General features: G+C 38.5%; 1 protein-coding gene across 2 annotated transcripts in view; it reads right to left on the bottom strand.

Moving 5' to 3' along the window:
* The window catches only part of SND1 (staphylococcal nuclease and tudor domain containing 1), a 440400-nt gene that overhangs the window by 248527 nt on the left and 175554 nt on the right, over positions 1-16319 (bottom strand). The gene's annotated exons all lie outside the window — the stretch shown is intronic.

Here is a 16319-nt window from a genome sequence, read left to right as displayed (position 1 = left end):
TTTTAAAATGCAAAAGATCCAAACAGCTTACTAAAGAATACATACAAGTGGCAAATAAGAACAGGAAAAGATGTTCTACATTACATGTGATTAGAAAATTGCCAACTTAAACAACAATGAGATACCACTGCTCGTTGTAGCATAGTCAAAATTCAGAACACTGACAACACCAAAGGCAGGCAAGGATGTGGAGCAATAGGAACTCTAATTCATTGATGGTAGGAATGCAAAATGATACAGCCACTTTGGAAGATAGTTTAGTCATTTCTTATAGAACTGAACATGTACTCTTACCATTTGATCCAGGAATACAGCTCCTTGAAATTTACTTGAGGAGTTGAAAACATACACAAAACCTGCCCATGGATATTAACAGTGGCTTTGTTCATAACTGTCAAAATGTGGAAGGAATCCATATATCCTTCAGTAGGTGAATGGATAAATTGTGGTATATCCAGATGACAGAATATTATTCAGTGATAAAAAGAAATGAGCTATCAAGCCATGAAAAGACATGGAGGAAGCTTAGACATATATTACTAAGTGAAAGCAGACACTTTAAAAGGTGTACTGTATGATTCCAACTATACGACATTCTAGAAAAGGTTAAACTACAAAGACAATAAAAATATCAGTGGTTGCCAGGAGTTAGAAGGAGAGAAGGAATTTTGCCAGGAGTTATAGGCAGAGAATAGGGAATTTTTAGCGTAATGAAACTATTCTGTACGACACTATAGTGGTGAATACATGCCACTATACATATATCAAAGCCCACAGATGATATAACACCAAGCACAAACCCTATGGACTTTGTGTGATAATGATGTGTTAAGGTAGGCTCAACAATTGTAATAAATATACCACTCTGGTGTGGAAGATTGTGTGTAGGGGGCAGAAGGTATATGGGAAATCTCTGTAACTTCTGCTCAATTCTCCTGTTAATCCAAAACTGCTCTAAAAAAAAAAGTCCATTTTAAAAAGAAAGAAAAAAGCTGATAACCAAAGATGTAAATCAAACAACTAAACACATAGGTCCCCACAGCAATTTTACTTTACAGAGAAGAGGTTTGCAACATTCCTGTTGGACTCCTAGACATTATGATAAAGCAGTGCTTTAACCTCTTCTGGGTCAGACTACTTTGAAAACCTGTATTTAAAAATATGAACTGCCTCCATAGAAAAACTCCATATAATCTGTCTGTCACAGCTTCCTAAGGACCAGATTAAGAGTTATTAAGAACAACAAACAAGGTGGGCACAATAGCTTGCTCCTATAACTGCAGCACTTTGGAAGGCCCAGGTAGAAGAATTGCTTGAGGCCAGGAGTTCAAGACCAGTCTGGGAAACAAAGCAAGACCCCCATCTCTCTGAAAAATAAAAAATATAAATAAATAAATACATAGAAGAACAAACAAGATAACAATTACAAAGATGCTTGGAATTGGTTTCACAGTATGTAAATCAAAAAGATACAGCTAATTAAGCCCAACACCAACATACTTGAGAGTTAAGCAGTGTGCAGGTAGGGGAGATAGAATGGACTAGATGAATCCTTAGATTTTGAATTAATTTTGCAGACAGGAAGTTAGACGCACAAAATGCAAAAATGGTTTAACCCTAGAATACACTAAATAAATGGATATGAACACACTAAACAATGCTTTTTTATTATGAAAACTTTGAAGATAAACATAGTATCCTGTAGCAAACATATAGGGCAAGTCTTCACAGAATGAAGTTGTAGGCTTGGTTTGGGTCAAAACCAAGGTTTACAAACCCACACTGAAGAGGTGCATGGGGATCAAGGAGACGGAAGCCTTCTCCACAGTCTGGAATCCCTTTTCTAAATACATCTTCAGCTCTCACTGATCAGCTTAAAGACAGCATATTGCAGAAGCATGGAGTTCAGCCACACTGCTAGTGAGCACCGTTAAAATCCTTTCAAACTGTCTTCTCTTCAAAAACTCATCTTGAAAATGAACATGGAAATCTGGAAAAGGATAGATGCCTCAAAATTCCAACTGTCAGATCACCCACTTGAACACTCCATTGAATCATGCTTTAGAAGCAGCAGAATGGAGCCATATCAGAGCCCAAGCCAATTAAGGGCTGAGGTTAAGGTAAATCATTCTTATGAGAAGTATGGTCATAGCACAACAACACAGAAAGTAAGAAAATATAAAGATGACTCCTAAAATTAGATACCTAGCTTTAAATTATTGCAAGGTCTTAACAACTACTATAAAACTCAGGAAATGAGTAAAAATGTGAGAAATGTGTTCAGACAGGGGGATTGAACAACTAGTGCCCTCCAACAAAAAGGTTTTTAATACTTTCCCTGCATGCTGCTGGCCAGAGTTAATATAGGCCAAAAAAAGGGCAAGGAATGAGAGGGCTGCACACAGACAGGCCTGAGTAACTCAGAACCAGGGAAGGGAAGAAGTGGTCTTGATGCTAATACACCCTGGAACTCTCCTCAGACAAGGCCTCACAACAAGCTTATAGAAGCAGGTGAGGAAAACAACAAGATAGCTGGAGTCATGGCAAAAAATCACGAGTGTACAGAAGGTAGACAGTGAAGGTGGCTATACCATGTAAAGTATCTCAGGGCCCATTTTAAATAGGACAAGGCCACAGGGTATGGTCCAATTTGGGGGCATTCGCTGGGAAGTTAATAAATATGTGGAAATGAGGAACGAGGTCCATGTATCTTTCGTGTTTTCACCCAATCCATCTAACAAGCTCAAGCCCTCAATTCTACTACCTAGGGAAAAAATCAGCACTGCTTAAAAAAAAAAACTAAGTTAATCTCAAGGTTACCTTGTGCCTCCCAATGCCAAATCTCCTTCTCAGTAGGCAGACAGGGGTGGGACAGCAGCTGTTTAGCACAGAGGAACATTAGCTCTCAACCCAGAGAGAGAGCTAATTCATCAAGAGGGCTAATTCACTATGCCACATGTGTGGGAGTAATAATAGGAGGAATAACAAACAAAAGTGAACACCTGTGTATCTCTCAGGCCAGAAGGCCAAAGTGAGGTGCTGTTCCAAAACTGTCTTCCAGGGAAATCAGTGGGAAGACAAAAAAATTTTAATCTTCAATAACCAAAAGAAACAACTACATTCACCTGCCAATTAATTGTTTCCCATATCAAGAGAATAAGAACTGTAAATAAGTCAGAGATTAAACAGTTATTTGTGGATGCAACATTATTAAAGAAAATCTGAAATACAAATGAGGCCCGGAGAATAGCCCACAGCCAAGATATACACCTGCAGGCAGCTATGACAAATCAGGAATTAAAGTCAATGTGTAATTAGCATTTGTGTCCCTCCCCTGTGGATTCTGAGATCTCTTCCTCTACCCTGGAATTTTTCATCTCAAGATATTCAACACTGACCTGTCAATCACTTGAAAAAGAACCATGGTTTTAACAGCTTCAATTAAAACCAGTGTAAATCTTAGCAACATCTTCGTCTAAATAAATGATAACCTGAATTTTGTGTTTGTGGGTAAGTATGTATAAAACGGCATGAGAGAAGAAACTGATTAATATAGATGGGTTCTCCTTTTTAAGATATTCCTGAAATGTTTTGTATGCAAGTATTTTACGAATACATGACCAAGGGCTATATAACTGACTCAGACCCTGATCCCTGTTTATAGCAATGAGTGACCACAAAGAGCCCTGGGCTCTTGCTTGGTGCTACTTGAAGCTCCCTTACAAATGAGGCACGTAACATCTTTGGGTCTCAGTTTCCCTTGACCTTAAAAACGAGAGCACTAGATTAGAACATCAGAGCATCATTTCACTCTAGAATTCTAAAAGATAATTTAGTCAGACATGGGGTACTATATACTGTTTTCTTAAATCTTTGTATTTCCTACCTTACATTTACTACATGGTATTGGAACACACCAACTGTAAGCTCCAAGAGTGGGGAGACCATGTCTTATTCACTCAAAGAGCTGGCATGGGCCTGTAAGGCAGGAGACTACGCTGTAAATGTTTGTTGCATGAGTAAATATATAATCAATAATCTTTTCAGACATAACATTATGAAGGATACCCTTGAAGTGGGAAGGCAGGGCATCCTGAGGACCATTTTGTCAAGCTGTTGATCATTCTGCTGTTTTATATAGTAAAAATATATTTATTTAAACCGTGGAGGATAGGGAGGAGGAACTGGGGGAGGAGCAATATTTTAAAACTGTGATAAAGCTCTAGCGCAAACAACCATGAAAGATGAAGCAAGCCAAATATGAAACATACATACTTTCTCATATTATTTATTCCTCAAAGAGGTTCTCAAAGGTAAGAGGGTAGCAGGCAACCTTCGTCTATTAGATTATAGAATTTTCCTTGAAAGCAATTTCAGGGACCCTTCAGAGGAACTAAGATGGTAACTTCAAACTAAATTTATATATTAATTGCTTGTAAAGTCTGGAATAGTTTAGTATAGAACAGCTATGGGCCACACAACAGAATTCTCAGGCTCTCTGGATATTCTTCATACAATGTATGACTAGAACAGTATCAAACCACCAAAGAACTTCACAGACTGATGCTGATGATAACAAAACGCCAAAAAGTGAACTACCTAAGCATAAAAGGTTAGAGGAGGTAGGAAGGAAAACAACTGCAGAGCCACATTTCCAGGTTGTAGCCTGAGCTTAGTTTTAATATAACTAGAGCTGTTACGTAAGGCTTTGGGGCATAATCGCCACATAATCCCACCCACTATTCCACATAGCCACTCATAAATTCACAAAGAGCTAAATAAACACCTTGTCTCTCAAAATAACCCCTTTATTACCCCTCTCATGACAGAATTTCCAGACTTTATGGAAAGCCTCTACGCACCCCTAATACTGAAAAGACGACACCATTTGGCCTGAGTCCCACGGATGCTGCCTAGAAACAAAAGTAAGTAAAATGGAATGTTTCACATAGGCTCGATAAGAACACGGACACTTCAGAACAGCCAGGCTGCAGTGACTGGTTCCCAGCAATTCTAGAAAGGAGCTGTGTGAACTTAGATAAGCGACCTAACTTCTCTGCTTATGTTTAACACATTTACTGTGCGTATCTCACTGCTGTAGGAAGATACATATGTATCATTTAGAACAGTGCTTGAATCATTGTACGTTCTATCTAAGTGCCAGTTATTTTTAGATAAACATGTACTAATTTTCTTAGGGCAGTGTCTGGCACAGAGTTAAATGCTAAATAAGTATCCATGAGATAAACACATACACAAATACATACATGCATAAATCAGATACATGTTGATTTAAATCATTAGACTTTGGAAATCATCAGGCAGAAAGACTAAATTAAATACACTTTTCTCTTTAAAGAGCCACAGCAAACAAAAATATGTAGTACTTCATACATATTCATCCCAACTTAGAGCTAAGTAAGGATTATTTTAAAGAATGATACACTAGTATTTATTTAGATATTTAACATTAATTTTGCAGCTACCAGTTATTGGATATTTTATTTACCAAAGACAATTGAAGCACAGTGTTGTGAACCATCTCAAATAATAGGTTAACTATGGATATTTGGGGCAGGATACTTCTTGCCTTACTAAATTAGGAAGACAGTGAACATCAAATAGTAACCAAGTTTCCATTTGCTTTGGGCTTAACAGTGTAGGATATAATAAATTTCTCTTCAAAGGTTTTTAGCCTGTAAATTGTTAAGTACGATGAGTTCTGAGATCCTCTCCAAAGAACCAGTGCATCAGTATGTTCAGCTCCCCTGTTCCTTGTTCTCCATTTTAAAGTTTAACTTCCTCATTCTCCTTGCCCCTAGTTTCAGTAAACAACCTTTTCCACCAGTTCTAATCAGTAGTTGACATCTGTTCCCCTGGTCACCTGCTCCGTCCTTTGAGTCACCCCTGGTCACCTGCTCTGAACTGAATCATCTTGAGTCACCTGTTCTGTAAGCCCTTCCCACCAAACTACTCATTCCGCCACTCAGGCTCGTACCCCTGCTCTCTTTAAAATAGCCAATTGGAATTAGCTTAGACTGTGCGGTCCAACCCTAGCCAACAGGGGAACAACATAGCAGTAGGGGCTACCTGCCTGTTCCCCTCCCTTGTTGAAGTGTGCTCTCACCATTACTCCATCCAGGAGTCGCACCCTTCTATAGAAGTAAAAATTGCCTTGCTGAGAAAATTAAATTTATGTTCGAGTGCTACTTCTCTTGCAGCACTGAAAATTTATTTATAACAACAGGATCTTCCATACAAAGTGCTCCTTAATATTTACATAATGTAGTTTTAATAATTTTTCTCTGTTAAAAGTATATTATCATTCTAAACTTATAAAAGTGATACATATTTTTAAACATTTTAAAACACACATCAATCACCCATTCATCGAGGTACAGGAAGAGCTTCAAAACAAATTGCTAAGGAGCCTGTTGGTCCTGCCTCTGGGCATGCTCTGAGCTTACCTCCAAGCTAATTCAGACATTAGCCGTTGTGGAACTGCTCATCTCTCAAGAGAGGATGTTAAACTTACCTCCTTCTAGGCAAGTACTGTGTAATGGAAATATAATAAGTGACAAATGAGACCCACATGTGTATGTTCACATTTTCCTAGTAGCCATGTTGAAACATTAAAAAGAAACAAGTGAAATTAATTTTAATATGATTTTTTATTTAATGCAAAATTTCTAAAACATCGTGTCAATATATAACAAATATTATAAAAGTGTTGAGATCTTTTTTTGTATTAAATCTTTACTATCTGGTGTGTACTTTACAAACATCTCAATTTGGACCAGCCACACTGCAATGCTTAAAACTCAGTGGGCATTCCTAGAGTATCAGTTAAGGCACAAGTCTTAGCCTCATTCCTCTATCCTATCTGTGGTTCTGATTTCTCTCTGTATTTTTCCCTGTGAACGTATGTTTTATGAATCTTTGTAAACATTCTTAAACCAAATATGAAAAAAATATGATATAAAAACCCTGGTATCAAAAATAAAATATTTAGCCTTCATTTTCTTTTTCAAATCTATTATCTGACTAGATTACAAAGATAAGCCACATACATTTTTAGTTCAGAAAAAGAATTTCAGGTGTGAGGATAAATTTATACACTGAGGGAAAAATCCCTTAGTCTGTACTATATATGTAAAATATATTCTATTCAGTAGTTTGGTGAAGGTATTTTTCAGTTCCTTCTACCAATTCAATAGCTGAATTTTATTAATTCCTGATTTGTCAACATGATTCTAGAATTCTTTACCTTAGTGTTTGAAGTTTATTCTAATGGATGGATGGTGGGTAGATGGTGGCTGTGGCCAGAAACTCAGGTTAAGAAATAACTGTTTTTGTAGTTAATAATTAAGGCTTCTGTTAATTGCTGATATTATTAAAAAGAAAACAAATAACTGGTAGATGTAACCTACTTATTTTTATATATTTTTATAATTATAAAATGCTGAAATTTACCTCTTCCATCAGGACATCTTTGAGCTCTGCAACAACCTTTATAAATACGTTCAGAAAAAATTATACATTTTGTTGTCTCATCTATGCTACAAAGATTAGAAGACATAAACCAATGCTCCCTTCCTAACTCTCCAATCCAGCCCAGATGTATTCTCTAACACCCCCTTCCAAATCATTGTAATTAGGTGCTTAGGCTGGTTGTTTCTTCACATGTATTTATGCTGCTCTCTCCCATCTAAAATCACCATCCTACCCCCAAACCCCAAAACTATTTTGACTACATTTCATTTTCATCAATGGAATTTTAATCTATAATGCCTATAAACCTTTATAAACACATTTAGAAAGTGTTCTTATTTGATACATTTTTGACAAAATGAGTCTCCTATCCCAACCACTCCTCTGTCCCCGGGATGGGCAGACGCTTTTATCTGTTTTGAGGGGAAAGGTAAAATACAGCTGAATATGGCGTCCATGGAGATGTTAAGAGTCTCTATCTGACATCATGCATTCATTTAAGTGGACATCACTGCTCCCTGATAAACCTTCACTTCGGTAAATATTTAATTAGGAGCATACACAAACTCGAGATCCACAAAACATTAAAACATTTTAGGTAAGGGGCCATTAGAAAATGGCAAAGATTTCTAGAAGTAGTGATAACAACCTGAAAACAAACATAATAAAATGATCTGAAAATATACTGACCAAGCAGTTTCTATACGGAAGTAAATAATAGGCACATATAAACATCAAATTTTGACAAATGACAATATTTTAAATAAATCTGAGGGGTACCTTAGAGAAAGACACAGAGATCACTATTTGAAAATAGTGATCCCAGCTTCCAGCAGTTTCATTAAATCTCGATTCTCCAGGATTTATAATCCTACAAACATACTTAAAAAGTATAATGTGTGTTTGTGCTAATGCTCCATTATCTTACTCATTATTTTATCACAGGCATAACTCACACCAATACCTACTTTTAATACAACCTGCTTGTCCCTAAGGAGGAATGTCAAAAGGTTTCAGAGGCACTACTGGAAACTGTCCCTTGTGTAGCCTGTATGTCCCTTCTTATTCCTCACCAGAGCTGCCAACTCCCATTGCCTTCCTCTAAAGGATGAAAGTTGAGGGTGGGTCTTTTTTCTCCATTATACAAGCGTCAATCACAGTCATCTATGGCCAAAATTTCCAAGGTCACCAGCAGTCAGGAGAAATTAAATCCCTTTTTCCAGAACTCTCCCTGGAGGAGTTCCAGCCACACAAGCAGCACAAATTTTACATGGAGATACTTCTGCCTTTATGTCAAATACACCCAATGTCACCCAATCTTTAAAACAACAGCAGTAATGAAACTATGATGAGAGGAACAAGAATATGAAGAAAGGAGACTTGCTTAATGGCTTCTAAGAATAATTAGTGGGGGGAAGGGGATATTATTAAGAAATGGATGAAAACAAAAGGTTACATTACATTTGCTCTGTCTATAAAGATTTTGAATGCCTGCACCCACCAAAATACCAGGGAAATCTAATCAATAAAAGTGGGGACTAAAGTATTCACCCTGCCAAGAGTTCCAATAAACTCCTATTTCCCTGGGGAGTAGGTATTGCTTGGGTGAGCAAAACCAGAACACAAAAGCCATCCTGCATTGACTACAATTCAGAGCACTCCCATTTCTCCAGCATGCCCATGAGCTGGCATCAAGAAGTCACTCAGACAAGGAAAATATATGTTTAGGTAAATTAAATAAAGGCCAAAGTTAGAATGGTGAGCTGACCTCAAGGATGTATATAATGATGTCAAAGGAAAATCATGAAGAAAAAACACAATAATTCTTTAGGAATACACGCCAATGACTAAATAACACAAGGATATAGCACTTGTGTATATAAATTGTCAGTTTTGTGGCTAAGTAAACATTCCAAGAAAATCAGGTATCAATATCAGCCTTTCTTCCTGTAAACATACCACACCATCCCTCTATTTCACAAAGTAGAGGCCTACTAAATGAAGCAAGGTTCCATGATCAAAGGCACGGCGTGCATAGAACAATGACAACTAAAGTCACAGACACCGATCAAAGACCATCCTGCATTGTATCTGCGTCTCCCTTCAAATTCAGGTCTCTTGATTTACAGTCATTGTTTTGGAAAACAGTGAACAGGCACACAACCAACTCCTTGGCCTACAATTACACACATTCACAAACTGGGCAGTTACCAGTGGAGGATAATTCTAGATCAAACCATTTCTCAGTTCCACAGTGTTCCAGTTTCCACTCCTAAATTATCAGAAATATGATGCAAAAATATTGCTTAGCTTTCCAAAAAAATTAAAAATAGAATTACTATATGATCCACCAATTCCACTTCTAGGTATACATCAGTGGAATTGGAAGCAGGATCTTAAAGAGATATCTCAATACCCAGGCTCACAGAAGAATTTATTTACAACAGCCAAAGGTGGAAGCAACTGACATACCCATTGTTGGATAAGTAGATAAACAAAATATGGTAGATACATACAATAGAATGTTATTCAGCTTTAAAAAGGAAGGAAATTCTCATTATCTTGAGGACATTATAAGTGAAGGAAGTCAGTCACAAAAAAAAAACTTACTTACAAAAAAGAATACTGTGTGATTCCATTTAAATAAGGTACCTAGAGTAGTCAAATTCTTAGACCAAAAATAGGAACATGGTTGACAGGGGATGGAGAGATTTATTTAATGGGTATAGAGTTTCGATTGTGCAAGAGGAAAGAAAAAGTTCTGGGGATGGACAGTGATGGTTGCACAACAATGTGAATGAATGTGCTTAATGTCACTGAATTGTACACTTAAAATTGAATAAGAAGGTAAATTTTATTTTATGTATCTGCCTTTCTCTCTCTCTCTCTCTCTCAACCCCCCAGGCTGTTCTGCCCACACATTAGTAAATAACAGCGGCAGGAGCGAGGCAACTCTGAACCCAAACCCAGCTAACTCCTGAATCTACTGGTTACTTCAATAAGACAGTTCAGGCTGGGTGTGGTGGCTCATGCCTGTAATCCCAGTATTTTGGCAGGCCAAGGTGGGTGGATCATTTGAGGTCAAGAGTTCGAGACCAGCCTGACCAACATGGCGAAACCCAGTCTCTACCAAAAATACAAAAATTAGCCAGGCATGGTGGTATGTGCCTTTAGTCCCAGCACTCGGGAGGCTGAGACATGAGAATCACTTGAACCTTGGAGGCAGAGGTTGCGGCGAGCCAACATCGAGCCACTGCACTCCAGCCTGGGTGACAGAGCAAGACTCCATCTCATTAAAAAAAAAAAAAAAAAAAAGACAGTTCAATCACATTCCCAAGAAAATATACGGATGGTTTCCCAAAACCATAATTAGAAGTCATGTTCAATAACCCCTAAATAAGGACACAGAAGTCTCCGGTTGTCATATAAGATAAAATAGTCTACCTTTTAGGCCACCTTTCTCAGGATATAAAATACACTTGGCTATTTTCTTACATTCTGAAAAGAGTCAACACTCTAAGAAAGTGGTCCCCAACCCTTTTGGCACCAGGGACCGATTTTGTAGAAGACAATTTTTACATGGATGGTGGGGAGGATGATTTCGGGATGAAACTGTCCCACCTTCAGATCATCAAGCATTAGATTCTCATAAAGAGCATGAGACCTAGATCCCTCGCACGTGTAGTTCACACTAGGCTTTGCACTTCTATGAGAATCTAATGCTGCTGCTGATCTGACAGGAGGCAGAGCTCAGGCAGTGACGCTGGCTGGCCTGCTGCTCATGTCCTGCTGTGCAGCCTGCTTCCTAACAGGCCAGGGACCAGTACCGGTCCGCAGTCCGGGGCTTGGGGACCCTTGCTCTAAGGCACAAGCTGCATGTCTACCACAAGTCAACCCAAATATGCCTTTCTTACCATTTCTCAGAGGCAGTCATAGAAGGGAGATAAGAATAGTCTATGGCTCACTGACTTCCTATAAAATTGACAAATTTTGATGTCCTGCGCTGTGACAGAATTTTTCTATGAAGAATTGTCTGCCTTAGAGATCTATCACGTGCAGATCTACAGAATTTTCAGTGCATTCACCATCATTTTCCCACCTTTATCTACTTCTCTAGTTGCTGAATTTAATCACTGTTGTCTGTGCTTTTGTCCAATGAACTTCCAATTTCCACATGCTTCTCTAAGTGGTATTTTTCACTGTTGGCAGGAGTCTAAATTATTATAACATCATTGGAGGTCAGGCTGGCAATTCTACTAACATTTAATATGTGGATGTCCTTTAACCCAGCAGTTCCACTTCTAGGAATTCAATCTACAGAAACAAAGATGTATGTACAAATGTGGTGTCCTTTGCATTCATAGTAGTTTAACACAAATGCATAATTACAAGTTGAGATTTCAGTAATCTTAAATCTCATGAGTTATAAGTTGGCAGAAACCTTGCCTATCTTTTTCACCTACATATTACCAATACTGAATAAATATGATGTAGCTGCTGAGAACACGTGGGAGCTACACATTCTGCTATGGAAAGATGTCCAAAGAGAAAGGCAAATGAACAATGGTAAATATGATGTAATCCTTTTAGGGGAACAAAAGTGAGGGAAACATGGAACAGAATCCAGAGGAACATACTTGGCACTGTAGAAGGGCTTATCTTCAAAGGTGCAATTATAAGGTACTTCCAATTTTTCACATCGTACATTTCCACAGGGATTAAAATGTTTAAATTACATTTGGAAAGGGGAAAAATTTGATTAAGTCTTAAGAGAAACAATACGGTGAGCTAAGTAAATATATAAAGAAAACATCTGCCTTTAAAAACAAAAAACAGCAAAAAACACAAAAAAGTAGCCTCCTCACAAGCAGGGTCTTCACCTTTGAGCATCTGTTTCATCACAATAGTTCCCACACTGAGGCCACGGTCACTGCTCAGTAATGTCTGCCAACCAGTAAGGATTATGCAGGGCAGGCTAAACACTGTTAGAAGGACATGATCATGAGGGCTTCTGGGTGCCCAGTGGTGTACTGTTGCCATGGCAGGTGGGCATCACTCTCTGCAAATGAACTGCCAATCTCACTCTGAGCTGATAATGATCCTGCCACCACCACCTGCCTGCCATATGTTTTCTCTACTTGTCACGTAACAAGGAACTGCATTTTGGCATGCTGATCACTGACAATCTAATACTACTGGTTGATGTTTGTTATACCTAGCTGCAGCCCTTCAGAGAGAGCTGGAAAAGAGTGGAAGAAGGATATAAAATAATGCTTTGCCTACTGACCATTCACTAAGACCCAACACTTTGCAGTGGGTTAGCCAGCCAGTTCTAAGACAGCTGGTAATATGTGAAGGGCTGTGCCCCATCCCCCTTGTGCCCTCTGATCCTGTTTCTCATCAGCAGAGTAGAAAAGGAACCCAGACTTCCCAATAGAACAAACTGGATTCATTCTGTCTCCCTTAACCAACACAGTACAGTCAATAAAAACCATGGAGTTTTGTTTTTTACTTTAATACTGAGGTAAGCACAGGGTGTGGCATCAGAAGTCAAGAATTCATGTTCATGGAGCCCTTTCTCTGAGCAGCAGATCATCTGATGAAGAGAATATAATATGGAAAAATAGGGTTCATGTAACTGCCTCCCAATTTGCCCCTTTTACTAGAACTCTAACTCATACATTTATAACTATATATCCCAGAGAGTCTCAAAATAAATATAGGGCTTGTTATCTACTCCTAGACAGCAAACTAGGAGCTAGTTTCTGAACAGAGGGAGGGAAGAACAGTTTCAGTAGAGTTTAGGTAAAAGATACTGAATGCACAAGAGACTGGAATCAGTCAAGCAGGTTAACCAAACCCCTCATATTCCCATTGATAATGAGAATGTGAAGATGATTATCCAACAGCACTTTCCATGAATTAAAAGGTCATTGGATACATATATACTTCTCTTAATGAGGAGGATCATTAAGAGAAGGATATATTCTGCTATGGAAAGATGTCCAAATAGAAAAGCAAATAAACAATGATAAATATGATGTAATCCTACCAGGGGAAGAAAAGTGAGGGAAACATGGAACAGAATCCAGAGGAACATACTTGGCACTGTAGAAGGGCTTATCTTCAAAGGTGCAATTATAAGGTACTTCCTCTCCCCACTCTCACCAACACTTAACCAATTGGCTAAAATGCCAACCAGCATTAGCACCAAGAAACACCAAGGCCTTCTTGGCACAATCTCGGCTCACTGCAACCTCTGCCTCCTGGGTTCAGGCAATTCTCCTGTCTCAGCCCCCTGAGTAGCTGGGACTACAGGCGCCCACCACCACGCCCAGCTAATTTTTGTATTTTTAGTAGAGATGGGGTTTCACCTTGTTGGTCAGGCTGGTCTCTAACTCCTGACCTCATGTGATCCACCCACCTCGGCCTCCCAGAGTGTTGGGATTACAGGCATGAGCCACCGCACCCGGCCACCAAGGCCTTCTTGATTCAGCAACCACAGCATTAACATACAGATTTACTATTTAATTAAGATCAAATTTATGTAACATGAAATCCACCATCTCAATCATTTTAAGGTGTACCAGTTCAGTGGATTTTAGTATATTCACAATGCTGTGCAACATCATGCTTATCCAATTCACTGAAAAGAAACTATATCCATGAAGCAGTCACTTCTTTTTCCCAACTTCCCCTACCTCTAGCCCCTGGAAACCATCAACCACCTATAGATCCCTATAAAAATTCTGTATAAATGGAATCATATAATATGCAGTCTTTTGTGTCTAAATTCTTTTACTTGGGACAAGTTTTCCAGGTTCATCTATGCTGAAGTATACAGCAGACTTCATTCCTTTTTAGGACAGAATGTACTGATTGTAAGGATATACCATACTTTGTTTATCCACTACGGTGTACTTTTGAGACTGCAGCTATAATAAGAGAAAGTATGCTGAGAACCACTTTAATAAAAAATCTTGTAATAATATTTTTAATAATAAGAGAAAGTGTGTTGAGAATCAGTTGAGAGCAGTCAGTGGCCTAAGGAGAAGAGTTTTCATTGACAAACACAAACTAAGCTATCAGAGTCAAATCATATAAAAGGAGTCTTTTAATCTCCTAATCTGTCCACTTCAGAGAACCTCAACCAAATCCATTTTTTTTAAATTAAAAGTCTCTCATAATGAGGAAGAAATCTTTCAGTGTCTCAAGGGATGGTCCAAACAATAAACCAACCTACCAATCACCTCAGAGGAAATGAAACTGCCTCACAGCAGGTCCTTTGCTCCAGATGAAGAGTACAGCCACTGTTCAGGATGCAAAGAAGACACAGATCTAAACTATGTGGGGGAGGGGGCAGGGGGCAGGATCCCTACAGGCTTTTCCCTCATCTGCTGCATTTGCTTCCAAGATTCCTGGCACATACTCATTCAAACGAACCAGACTGTAATTCGGGTTTTAAGGACTCTCCTATCTTAGTTAATAATACATACCCTGTTTGAATGTATCGCTAGTATACACAGCAACAAATCTCTCCCTGATGCATCACCTGTGGTCTTTCCTGTGTGATGCTCTTCAGATCAGCTAAGCTGACTCCTCTTCCGCCCCTACCTCTAAGAGGTCAGGTGGAAAACTAATGATAAATTCTTCTACAAGACAGGAGTAAAGCAATAAACAAAAATGACCCAGGGAGCTCTGCTCCATGATTTAATATGGAAATAATTTTTATTCTTGGGCTATTAAAGAAAAGTCTCTGGGTCTTTTAGCCCAGGAGATAAGTCAATACCTCAAGAATAGAAGAATTGTGTTTGCTCTGGAGGTAACATTTTGAGCTATAAATTTATTATCCTGATTATCAAAAGACCAGCCCAAGAAAGCAGTGATGATATTTAATAATATTTTGACACTATAGATTTTCCAGAAAATTTTAGACAACTCTACAAGAAAGAAGAACAAAGCCAAAATTTCTAGCAGTTCCAGAGAAAATGCCCAGGCAGTAAAAGAAGCATCATGATACAATAACCAAGATTATACAAAAGTACCAACTTTCAAACACTAGAAAATCCTCAAATGAGGTTTCCAACTACAGACAGGAATTTACTGTAATCGCTGTCCAAGATCTTCACAGAAATCACTCTAAATGAGGGTGGTCAAACAATCTCAAAAAAAAGTAAAGGAATGATCCAAAGCCCCACCACTGAAAGAATATGTATATATATTCTGATATATATATATCAGAACAACCAGAAGGTATAGGAAATAGAAATGAAATTTGCGGCTGGGCGCAGTGGCTCACACCCGTAATCCCAGCACTTTGGGAGGCTGAGGCAGGCAGATCACCTGAGGTCAGGAGCTTGAGACCAGCCTGGCCAACGTGGTGAAACCCCGTCTCTACTAAAAATACCAAAATTAGCCGGGCATGGTGGTGGGCGCCTGTAATCCCAGCTACTTGGGAGGCTGAGGCAGAAGAATCACTTGAACCTGTGAGGCAGAGTCTTCAGTGAGCCGAGAACATGCCGTTGCACTCCAGCCTGGGCAACAGCGAGACTGCCTCAAACAAACAAAAAAACTTGCTACATTAGAAAAATAGTAAGAAAAATGCTAACTATATATGTTATTAAAGAAACCACCCAGAAAAGTAATGCAAATAAATGTATTAAGGAACAACTACATTTCAGGTTAATTATATCTAGTATAATTACATCTGAAATATTAAAAATAGGTGCATAATATACTATTCCTTTATTTTTCTCTGTAAAAGACAAACCAAGATGCATAGGCATGTTGAGAATAAAATGATACTTATTAATAAAACCCGCATAATA

This window comes from Homo sapiens, chromosome 7 (genome assembly GCF_000001405.40).
Source record: "Homo sapiens chromosome 7, GRCh38.p14 Primary Assembly".
Lineage (NCBI taxonomy): Eukaryota > Metazoa > Chordata > Mammalia > Primates > Hominidae > Homo > Homo sapiens.
This window is presented reverse-complemented; position numbering and strand designations above follow the sequence as displayed.